Genomic DNA, 12,638 nt, shown 5'->3' with positions numbered 1-12,638 from the left:
TTGAAAGAATGGCATAGTCACTCTCTGGACCCCATTATGCAGAGACTTGCCAATAGAAAACATCTAAATGAGACTTCAAACTAAAAATTAGCTTGTTTAATAAACACTATTCAATGTTCATGGATACTGTTTCTCTTCACATACAGGAAAATGAACTATAAGCTAGCCTAACTTTAGACAGTGGTCACACTGCATCTTTTTACCACACTGATGATTAAGGAACAAGGCAAATATTTTCTAAAATGGAATTATCAGAAAAGGACAGTGATAACATTATTTCAATCACTTGAACCAGATGTTACCAAAGACTCAAGTCTATAGTGTGATATTATAAATGTAAAATTTTTTTGTTTACAAAATACTTCTGTTTAGTATAGTGAAAGGTGGCATAGTGTAGTGGTCAAGGTCATGAACTCTGAAGTCAGATGCTTGGGTTGGAATCCCATCTGGCCACTTACCAGTTATGTCAACTTGGATAATTAAGATCTCAAGCCCTCCATTTTTCCATCTGTAAAATGGGGATGATAATGTTTCCTCTCCCAAAGAATTGTAGTAAGGATCAATACATATAATACTCTTAGAACAAAACTGGGCAATATGGTAAATACTAGCTATTTTTAGTAGTGAATTACCATTCCCACATACTGGCTCATGCTCTATTATTAGCTTGAGTTAACAAGAATTATTTGTAACCAGAAGTATGCTGAGAAAAAAGTATACAGATATACTTTAATTACATCCAGATGTTAGTTAATACCTTGGGGAAATTAGACTCTGTAAAAATTAGAAGCAAGTGGTTCCTGACCTCAGTGGATTTAAAGTTTTTTCTCAGTGACTCTTGGTAAAAAATAAATGTTCCATTGCACACAAACACCCACTTACAATACCCATATCCACACCCACACATACATACAACTAAGAAAGTTTCATGAAGCAGTACTCATGATGTTTTCTACTCTCTTCTATTTCAGTTTGTTAAAATGTTTGCAGTAATCTATTATTAATTTCACCATCATGACCTACAATTTTGAAAATACTATATAACCAATTCTTACAATGAGACAATTACTTGGGGGAAAAGATCTGCTCTTCTCATTTCCAGCCAATCTTAAGCTCAGTTCTGCCCTGTAGTACTAGCATCAAACTGTTACTGGATCTCTGGAGTGTCCAGTGTTGATTTTTCTAGCTGGAAACCTCTGTGTGGCCATGGTGCCTTTGCCCAAGTTCTTGTCCTGTGTCCAGGAAGAATGAAGTACACAGACAAGTGAAGGGTGAAGAACGACAGTTTTATTTAGTGTTGGAACAGCTCAGAGGAATGGGTAGCTCCTCTCTGTAGACAGATTGTCCAGTAGAGTGTTCAGCTCTCTGCAGAGAGGTGGCCCTGGAGGGTAGCTCCTCTCTGCAGGCAGGTCGCCTCTGCTAGTCCTCCCATCCTCTCTAGCTATCAGCAGAGAAGGCACTCCTCTCTGCACCTGGTCATCCTGTCCTGTCCTTTTTCTGCTGTCTTCATCCTCTGGCCATCCTCTGCCCTTCTCTGGCTGAGCCCAGTGCTTTTATGGGCCTCAGAGGGGAGGAAGTGCTCGGATTGGTCCATGAGTGGCCACAGGTGGGCCCAGAAGAGGCACCAGGAGTCCCCACTCTAGTCTGCAGGACTGGCAGCCTGGCTCCCAGCCTTCAGGCCCTCCCTAGCCTGAAGGTGGGGCCTTACTAGGGACCAGCCCCCTTCCAGCCAGGAATCAACCTGCCTCCTGCTGTCATTCATGGCCCCTGATATTGGCCCTGACTCCCGCTCCAAGATCGGAGCAGGTGCCTGGGGAGTGGAGAGAGGCCAGGCAGTGGGAGCAGACACCCTCAAGCTTGCAAGAAGTTGAGGGCCCTTCCTGGGGTCCCCGAGGGTGCAGGCTGCAGGCTGTAGCTGCACCCAGGAGCTCCTGCCCAGCCAACTTGGAAGGGGCAGTGCTCCCGAGCTTGTCCCAGACTCCTGCCTGCTTCCTGGAGTGGGAGGCCCAGGTCTGCAGCCACAGGTGAGGCAGCTGCAGCTGCACCAGGGAAGGCAGATCCTGCCTGTTCCCAACTCCCACAAGAGCACAGGGAGGCTCGATCCTCAGCTGCAGTCCCTCCTGGGTGGAGCTACTGCTTGCTCCCTAGAGCAGGAGGCCTGGGTCTGCAGCTGCAGTTTGGGTGGCTGCAGAAGCATGGGGAGCTCCCATCCCAATTCAGAAGGGGCAGGGCTCTCACTGGCTCCATGGAGTGTGCAGCCCCATCCATGATTCCCCGCCGCAGCCCATGGGCATCACGGCAGCAGCCACTGCCATCAAAACTCTGGCTTGGTATGAAGGGAAACAGAGACTCTTCCAGACCTTCTTGCATATTTCCAACTTCATTAGACTACCCTGATCTGTAATCCTGGTGTCAACTATTCACCATTCTCAGCACTTCTCTGACCATGCAAAACATGGGAAAGTAAAGGCCTCTCTATGACCTAAAGTTCTTCTGCCTATTATGGACATGGGAGACATGAGGTTATAGCAAGAAGGGGTCATTAAACCTCTGGGAGCTAAGAAGAGCCGAGCCCCAGAACAGAAATAACAACCCCTGCCCTTTTATCCAATTTGTGGCCAAAGCAGCACACAGCACAGCATCTGATTTAATCCTTGACAATTAAACATATTCCAAGGTTTTAGGAGTTGACATTTTGTACGGACATCAGATGCCAGGCCAGATTAAGTGTATTTGTATATAAATAGTACTTATAGCATGAAATCACTTGAAATATGGTGGACCTGCCTGTTCATCTTTTTCTACTCATGCCAAATGTATGTCTGTAAGTTCTACCTTTAGTCATGATTCCCATTTCTTATATTCCTTAAGGTAGCTCTACTCTTTGATTTTCATAATTGGTGGGTAGGACTTTCACCTCAAAAGACAGTACTAAATAAGAGTTCTGGAGATGGATGGTGGTGAAGGTTGTACAACAATGTGCGTGAACTTACTGCCATTCATCTGTACACTTAAAAACAATTAAAATGGTAAATTTGTTATGTGTATTTTGCCACAATTTAAAAACAAATTTTAAAAAGGTATTAAATAGAAGTTCTTTTAAATTCATACCTTCTCATTCTTCATCTGAACTTTTGGTTCATAAGCAAGTACCATATTTTATAGTTTGTTAAGTAAAATTTAGTTAGTTATTTAGATCTTTGAATCTGTTATTCATCACCACTTCCTGATTTTTGTGGTCACAGGGAATAACCAGAGAAAACAGAAATACCCTCTCAATCTCTTACTCAATGAAAGTTTCCATATGCCCCATCACCTTACCACTGGTAAAGTTCTCCATAATGAACATGTATCCATAAACAGACTGATATTTTTACTAATTCCAGAGTTGACATATTAAATTTTGTGGCAAAAATCTACCAATATACTCAAATTGGGTAGTTAAAAGTAATTTTAAAATATATTTTAGGGGAACAGCAGATACTGGGGCCTACTTGAGGGTGGAGGGTGGAAGGAAGTAGAGGATCAGAAAAAAATATACCTATTGGGTAATATGCTTAATATTAATACCTGGGTGGCAAAATAATCTGTACATCAAACACCCATGACACAAGTTTACCTATATAACAAACCTGAACATGTACCCCTGAACCTAAAATAAAAGTTAAAAGAAACAATATATCCCTTAAAATAATTAAATAAATACACTATTCCAGAAAATATGAAAATGAAAGATTTGCTCAACAATTTCTGCTTGGATATTCTGAAAAAACTAAAGAAAACAAGGACATTTGATTTGGGTGCCTCTGTTAAATGAGGCATATTTTGTAAGCAGGACCTTGAAGAAAACCAGGAGAGCAGTTCATTTAAAATGTGTCTCACATTGACCTTGTGAGCCATCCCTTCAGCATCTTTAATAAAAGAACACTGTAAATAAGTATGCTCCCGTATCCTTGAGTTTTGATGGCCTTAGAAGCCACTCAAGCTTCACCTTTGAGGCTAATGTGTCATCAGAATCCATTTCCAGTCATGTGTGGATAGTTTTGTTGCAGCTTCCAATTACCATAGTATATATGCTTCTCTCTCATGTTCATCTTATTCCCCAAAGCAAACACTCTACTTACTAAGCACAAAGTTACTTCATATAAGATTTACTTTAATTTTTTTTTAACTTTAGGCTTTTTTCCCAGTGCTTGAATAATGCATTTAGCATATCAGTCTTAATTCCAGACTTGAAATCTACCTCATCCAAACATAATCGCATGATAGCCACCCTTGTATTCTACCTCAGCCCTCTTGATTTCCCAAATAATTGATTATATAGGAAACACAGTATTACTTAAGGGATGAGGAAACACACTTAAAATTTAGGCTAACTACGTGAATACCTGTTTTTGTAATGAACTAACCTGGTTAAGCTAAAGGCATTAAAGAGGGCATATTTTGGCACTGTCCTCTTCTAGTACAAAAATGAATTTCTAGAGAAAAATGGCAAAAAAAAAAAGTATCAAGAATTCTGTAGTTCTGGTCTATAGTATACAATGACTGTACTACAAGTAGTTAAAGAGAGACAGTCAAATATACCTAGAATTTCAAGGACAAAGCAATGCAAACAGCCCTGCCTACATCATATTTTATGTAACTACCAATGATCAAATTACAATCAACATAAAGAAGTTAAAATTTTGCCAAAAGAGATTTTAGGATTAACATAAAAATCAAAAGATGAAGAAGATTTATGAGTGCACACCTCGAAGTGTAAACCTTTTTATAAATAAGGGAATCTCAGCTTTGGAGCCCTGGATTCTTTCATCTAGCTTTAGTTGGTTTCCCTTAGCTAAGGAAGTATAGCTTATCCAAAATGTTAGTGGCATTTTATTTGCTTTAAGTAAAGAATGATGAAATAGCCAACAAGGGTAAAATATATCAAATGTATTTCATCTCTTGGCCAATTCATATTCCTTTAATTTTTGGATACTCCTCCTGAAACCTTTTAGGCCCACATCCAGGAATCCTTTCCAAATGACTCCTATATATCAAATTCTTATTATTACTATAGTCTACTCTGCTTAATCTAGTGACTTCCAAGAACGATTGCTTTTTCAACTTCCAATTCTGACACTGATTATCACTACCACCTCCTCCCACTCAGTTTAAGAGGAAGAAATAGAACAGGATTAGAAAAGTAAGAAGAGGAAGGGAAAGGTAAAAACATGTGAGGAAACTAATGGAAGGAAAAAATAAGTAAAGTCATTCTTAAAGTGAGGCAAAATACCTGATTCCATTCTTTACTTTTTCCCCAATTTACTGAATTCAGTAGCCATGTACTGAAAAGTTCTCTAATAATAATTGCCAACATCTACTGGGAACCTTAAAAATATTATCTCATTTAGTACAACTCTGTGATATATTAATATTCCATTTTACTGTCAAAGAAACTGAGGCACAGAGAAGCTAAGTAACTTACCCCAGTCACACAGCTAGTAAGTAGCAGATCCAGAATTCAACCCAGCTAATGTAGTTCTGGAGCCCATATTTTTACCCACTGTTATGTTGCTTTTCTACATAAGAAGACATACTAATCACACCGCTGTAGGTTCCATTACAATACCACGCACTCATGGGAAAGGGAGCACCTAGGGACTCATTCCTTAAATAAGCACTTATGATGAACAGTCTCAATGCCATGCCCTACTTGTCACCACTGGAAAGGACCACAAAAATGAATAAATCATGGTCCAAGCCTTAGATACATTCACAGTCTGGTGGAGAACATATTATTCCAACACAGTTAAAACAGTCCTTGTAAAGCTGTGTCTAAAGTGCCATTGAGGATAGGGTGGGAGAGACTGATGACTAGCTTCTTGCAGAATGTCAGGAAGATGTCACACACAAGGTGATAAATGATCTAAGTTTTTTAAAGAACAAGTAGGAGTCTTCAGAAAACAGGAAAGGCAAAAGGATTACGTAGGTATCCATGTTTTAGATATTAATAATGAAGATTTATTTGTTAATAATTTTTGTTTTTATAGCTATACACAAGGCTTTACGCTGGGCATATGGAAGATTTAAAAATAAATAAAGTATAATCTCTTCTTTCCATAAATTTATAATCTATGAGGGAAATAGCACACCAATGAATATTACAAGGCTCTATGTTTTTGTTAAAGTGCTTTAAGAATTCTAGGGGAAAATCTTTTAGATGGTTTAAGAGTTTCTTAATGTGAATCCAAATAATTCTGGGATACTGATGCCTATTCTGCTTCTACAGCCCTGAGTTCAAGAATGTGGTTGGATCAGCTGAATTAGTCTCAAGAGTCTCAGAGTAATGAATGAACGTACTGCCACAATTGTGTTGTTTCATCAAATAATGCTGAGGTTGAAGAGGTATACCTGGACCAAGCAAAAAAGTACCAAGCACATATACAGACTAGACAATGTATAAGACTTCTCTAGCCTTATACATAAGCATTGGGCATGGAAGGGGACAAGTTACACCTTCAGAAGGACTTGTAATCTGTGCTCACAATTGTGAAACTCCTGGCTAGATAAAGTCATAGGAAGTTTGAATATTTGTCTCAGATGCTGCCGCTGATCTTGCTATCATTTATCAAAACATTGTTTTCTACTGCATTCTTACTACGAGTAAAATGCATTTTATGTACTCAAAGGGTATTTATGTCTTGTCTTTCTGTCAATACAAGCCTGCTAATGACATTTTTTTTAGTATGACAGTTGGACATGGAGTTTAACAAATTACACAGGAGTTCAGAAACAGAGTCTACTGTTGGTTAAATAATCAGAGAGTTCTTGAAGGAAGTAGTATTGGAGTTATGATTGATTGAATCTATCATCAATCAAGATTTCAGTCTGATTCATCCCCTTTCTGATTGGTACATTCACTTATTAGATAAGTTAAAATATTCAAAAATAATGGAGGTCAGTCTTGTTGGCCTAGAAGACTTCCTGCCCTTCACAAGGACTAATTTTACAATTTATCTATAAAGAGAAAATTCTTAATTTCCTCATTCCCATGTTCTTAGAGGTATCTTACCAGACTGACCAAGTATGTCAATAATAACAATAAACATCTATTGCATAGTTCTCTTCCATTTACATAGTATATTTTCATAATATAATCTCATTTGATTCCTCCAGTAATCACGTGAAGTATTAGTCAAGTTTAGTGACTTGCCCCAAGCCACATAGCTAGTAAGTAGGGGAGTCAGTTTTTCTCTGTTACCCCACCATGAAGCCTGTATTCATCTGTTCTCACATTGCTATAAAGAAATACCTGAAACTGGGTAATTTATAAAGAAAAGAGGTTTAAGTGACTCATAGTTCTGTAGGTTGTGCAGGATGCGTAGTGGCTTCTGCTCAACCTCTGGGGAGGCATCAGGAAACTTTCAATCATGGCAGAAGGCGAAGGGGAAGCAGATACATCTTACAGGGCCAGAGCAGGAGCAAGAGAGAGTGGGAGAGGTACCACACACTTTTAAACAACCAGATTTCACGAGAACTCACAAATGTGACAACAGCACCAAGGTGGGATGGTGTTATACCATGAGAAACCATCCCCATAATACAATCACCTCCCACCAGGCCCCATTTCCAACATTGAAGATTACATTTCGACTTGAGATTTGGGTGGAGACACAGATCTAAACCATATCAGAGCCCCAGTTTTGAATGAACCTATTTTGGAAACTCCTCTCAACTCACAAACTACTAGCCTCCTCTCCTTTCACTGAAAATCACCCTCCCCCTCATCTTTCAGGGATGCCCAGCCTGGGCAGCCATGTTGTACCACATAACATCTCCACTCAGGCCTCTGGTAATTGGGCCTCAAGTATACACTGAACCAAGATAAAAGAAAAAAATCAGATTTTCTAAAGGAAGACTTTGGGAATTGGTACTGAGATATGGAGAGTTTGTCTCTCCATATGCCAGGAAATAAAGCTTGTGAATTTAGGAGCTATGAATGGCTACATTGCACCCTAAGAACAAATGTTAGAGAAAGAGTCCACAGAGAGAAGGGTGAAGCAGAAACACAAGAAAATCAAGGAGCAAACACAAGAAGAGTACTCAATGACTTTGCAGTCCCTGTTCCCATCCTTTGATATGTAACTACATTCTTAGCACTGTGTCTCATTTCCTTTCATCTAGCTTTAGTTGGTTTCCCATAGTTAAAGCCAGGGTCTTAAATACTAATATTTTAGAATCTGTATAGGACCAGTTAATATTAGCCCATTCACTAGGATACAGTGGCCAAAAGGGGAAAAAAAGTGAAAGAGGAAGGGAGGAAGGTAGAGGAGGTTATTTTCTATACCTGTTGCTGTTGTCGATAGCTGCAAACCCTCAAAACTCCTCCCCATTCTGCTCCACTGGAGGAAAGAGAGTAGTTTCAAGGCCTGGGTTTCAAATGAGGTATGCGTGTGTTTGGTACAGGAACAGTAGATTTGTTGGCAGTTTTGTTTGTTTGTTTGTTTGTTTGTTGTTTGTTTTTCCAGACTAGTCTTAACAGTGCGTTTGGAAAATAAACCAGGGAGTAGTGTACAGGATAGAATGGGATTGGGAGGGAACAGGGAGAGGACAGATAAGAGGAATCAGGAATGAGAATGAGGCTTGACAAAGGAAAGGCTGCACAATTAGAAAGAGAAAACAGAATGGAAAATGCTGAGAAGGTAGACTGGATAAACTCAGTGAACAATTATGTGAGATAGTGGGAGAAAGAGTCAAAGATAACTATCCCAAGTCTGGGGCCTGATGACTAGAAGCATGATAAGACCAGTAACTAAAACCTGAAATTAGGAGGAGGACTGGTATAAATAAGGAGGCATCTGCCTAGCCTTGGTGAAAATGTCTATCAGCCCAGGAGGAAAGAACACTGGAAGTACAGATATGGGATTTGTTCAATGGGCTGACAGTTGACATGAGCTTAAGTCTGTACCAAGAGAGGAAAAGAAAGACAAATACAAACCCTTGAGGAGGGTCCACGTTTAGGAATAAATAGATGGGGGAAATACGACTAAAAACCCACACAAAAAGCAGAGGAGATCAGGACAGTACACACTGGTGATGTTAAGGAGTTATACGGAGAGTGTGGTCACTGTTTTAAGCACCTCAGAGAGGTCAGAAAATTAAGTTTGAGAATAGTCACCAAAATTCACAATTGAAAAATGACCGAGCATTTTCAGTAGCTTGATGAGAGAGAATATCAGATTAGAAAGGAGAAGTCTTTCAGGTAAATTAAAAGAAGAAAAGCAGAAAAGAGAGGACTGACCATGAGATTTTTTGCTTTTTTCTTCTTCCTTTTTTTGATATTGGAGATCTGATTGTGGCAACAGGGGGTTTCAGGAGAAAGTACCAGTGAACCCAAAATTTGAAAATGCTTAAAAGAGAGTAAAATTGGTAGAAACAGGATTCTGGAACGGGATCTGAGGAGGAAAGTGATCCTGAAGAGAAAAATCTGATTTGGAGAAGAACATAGTTGACAGCACGATGTCTTCCAGCCTCTCTGTAAAGTTACAAAAGGGGTCTATTGAGAAGGCTGATGGTGTTAGCTTGTAAACCAAGTCCACAGCACAGCCCTAGCAGATAGTCAGCACTTAACAAATGTTGTTGAATGAACATGATTCTGCTACTCAAACATTCATATGTAAATATGTACATAGATTTTGTTACTGGTAGTTTTTAAAAACCAGTTCAGAAAAGAAAGAGCATTCTGCAGCCATTAGCCCTAAAGAGAGGCAAAAATAATCAGCTCTGCTTGCCTTGAACATCAGAGGAGTGCAATTACATGACATATCAGAGTTAATCCAGCCACACCTATACACTCAGAAAGCCATTCCATCAGCAGAATCATTTGCCATTATGAAAAGCACAGCGATAGAAATACGGAGCACTTTCATTTCCGTAAAGGAAATTCCATGACACTCTTTCTACATGACCTTCCTTCCTCTATTGCCTCTCTTGTCTTACAAAATGACTTTGTGCCTTCTAGCACTAACATTCTGAGGGTAGCATGCTTCTTTTCATTTCCAGTGACAAATCAAATACAGTAGGTCAATATATGAGAAAGGCAGAGTAAAGATTTTCACACATGCAAAACCAAAATTGAGAGTTGCCAATGATTGATGATTATAACCTAGTGCACCCTTTGGCAGAAAAGCTAATAAGTTTTGTTCAATGTGATAGCAAAAGAGTTGTTACATATAATACAAATAAAATGTAAAGTAATTTAAAAAAAAAAAAAGCTTGGATCATTTTGGAAAATGGAAACATTACTTATTGTCATTTACCTATGCCCTTAAAAGGAAATGTGCTAAATAACCCAGTCTTCTAAAGGAGTAAATGATTTACTGCCCTCAGATCTTAGTTGTCTTTCTAAGAACTAAGGCAAAAGTTCTTAAATTTTTCTGTGCCATAAACCTCTTTGGCAGTCTGGTGAAGCCTATGGAGTCCTCGGAATAATGCTTAGAAATGCATAAAATAGGTTTACAAAAGCAACAAAATAGTTAATTTAAATTGTAATTGAAAAGCAATTTAAATACAGCTATCAGAGTCTTAAAAGAAAGTTTTCTTATATAATAATATGCAAATTATTTGTTAATATATTAAATAACTACTATAATTTCAGTATGCTAATTAGCATGTATAATATTTCAAGACAACTATACCATGTGAGGAAATTTTAAAAATCAGTAGAGGTTTCTAGTGTGACAGTCACAGGTATATACTAATACAATGTAGTACTCCATGGCTCTGTGGTTTAGAGCCTACTTTTATAGTTGGAAGAAATTCTCATTTTCAGTTTGAGCTTAATAAATATTCCCCTCCCCCCACATCTGAATACACAGACTCCAGATTAAGAACTCTTGGTTGTACCTTTTAGAAAAACTACAGCTATAATTACTGTTCACCAACTGTGATTACTGACTAAATGAACACAAGCTTTCACTTTTTAGAACTATTAAGACCACTGAGAATTCAGAGAGCAAAGAAATAGAACTGTGGCTGCAGCTGACAAGGGGAAGATTAAAGTCCATGAATGTGAAGAATCTCTGATACACTCTGAGAAGTAACATCCAATAAATTCACCATAAAACTGGCTCCCAGAAGGGCCCTGGAGAAGAACGGGTGTAGGGTAGTTCCTTCAGTTATCCCAACACAACATGGTTTTCTCTCTGTGTCCTGAAAACCCATAATGTACAAATGGCAATCTCAGGTCTCTAAGATCATGTTGCTAAGCATGTTTTCTCTCTGCACTATTTTCATTAAAACTTCTCTAGAAGGCTCCAGATTTTCCAAAAAAAAAAAAAAAAAGATTTTAGTTTTACCAAAATCCTAAGTTGGTCACTGTTTATTAAAATATTACTAAACATATGATAACAATAGGAATTTTATAGTAAGTGTATATGTAAAGCACACATGGAGTATTTAAAAAGCTAAACCACAGAAGTGCAGATTAGTCTTTATTTATTTATTTGGTACTGAGTTGTTTTTACTATAAAGGGTGGGAGAAATAATCCTTAACACAGCCAAAGTGTACATTTTGTCATGCGTGTCTGTGTGAAGAGAGTCCACCAAACAGGCTTTGTGTGAGCAACAAGGCTGTTTATTTCATCTGGGTGCAGGCGGGCTGAGTCCGAAAAAGGAGTCAGCAAAGGGTGGTGGGATCATCATTAGTTCTTATAGGTTTGGGATAGGCGTACAAAGTACATTCTCAAGGGCAGGGAGAATAGTACAAAGTACCTTCTTAAGGGTGGGGGTGCGCAGAATATATTGTATCAGTTAGGGTGGGGCAGGAACAAATCACAATGGTGGAATGTCATCAGTTAAGGCTATTTGCACTTCTTTTGTGGATCTTCAGTTGCTTCAGGCCATCTGGATATATACATGCAGGTTACGGGGGATATGATGGCTTAGCTTGGGCTCAGAGGCCTGACACATTTGATGATATATGACAGAAAATAACCATAAAGGATGCAATGGTCAGTAACAGGAGAGCATCTTCATGGCATTACTCAAGCCGGAACTTGTTATTTCCTCACCTATAACCAGGTATATTCACTTCCTAAAGCTACTGTAACAAATTACCACAAAATTGGTGGCTTAAAACAACAAAAATTTATTCTCTTACAGTTTTAGAGGCCAGAAGTCCAAAATCAAGATGCCTGCAGGGTTGGTTCCCTCTGAAGCTTGGAGGAGCAATCTCTCCCATGCCCCACTCCTACCTTCCAGTGTCTGCCAGCAACCCTTGATATTCTTTGCCTTAGGGCTACAAAAATCTAACCTCTGACTCTGTCTTTACATGGCCTTTTCTCTATGTCTCTGTATCTCAAATTTCCCTCTCCTTTCTCTTATAAGGACACCACTTATTGGATTTAGGGCCACTTTACATACAGAATTATCTCATCTCAAGATCCTTAACTAGTAACATCTGCAAAGACCCTGTTTCCAAATCAGGTTACATTCACAGGTACCAGGGGTTAGTGCTTAGACATTTCTTTTTGAGGGACACAATTTAACCTACTGTAACAAAGATTCCTAAACTCCCACATATTCTAGCTACAGAAACTTTACTAAAAGATGATCCAACACAAAGCACAAAGCACTTATTTTTCTTACAGCCAGTG

At 38.9% G+C, this 12,638-nt stretch overlaps 1 long non-coding RNA gene across 1 annotated transcript in view; it reads right to left on the bottom strand.

Moving 5' to 3' along the window:
- Positions 1-12,638, bottom strand: part of LOC124901692 (uncharacterized) — a 41,815-nt gene that overhangs the window by 1,063 nt on the left and 28,114 nt on the right. The window lies entirely within an intron of this gene.

This window comes from Homo sapiens, chromosome 7 (genome assembly GCF_000001405.40).
Source record: "Homo sapiens chromosome 7, GRCh38.p14 Primary Assembly".
NCBI lineage: Eukaryota > Metazoa > Chordata > Mammalia > Primates > Hominidae > Homo > Homo sapiens.
The sequence above is the reverse complement of the archived record's forward strand: the minus strand, read 5'-3'. Positions and strand labels throughout refer to the sequence as shown.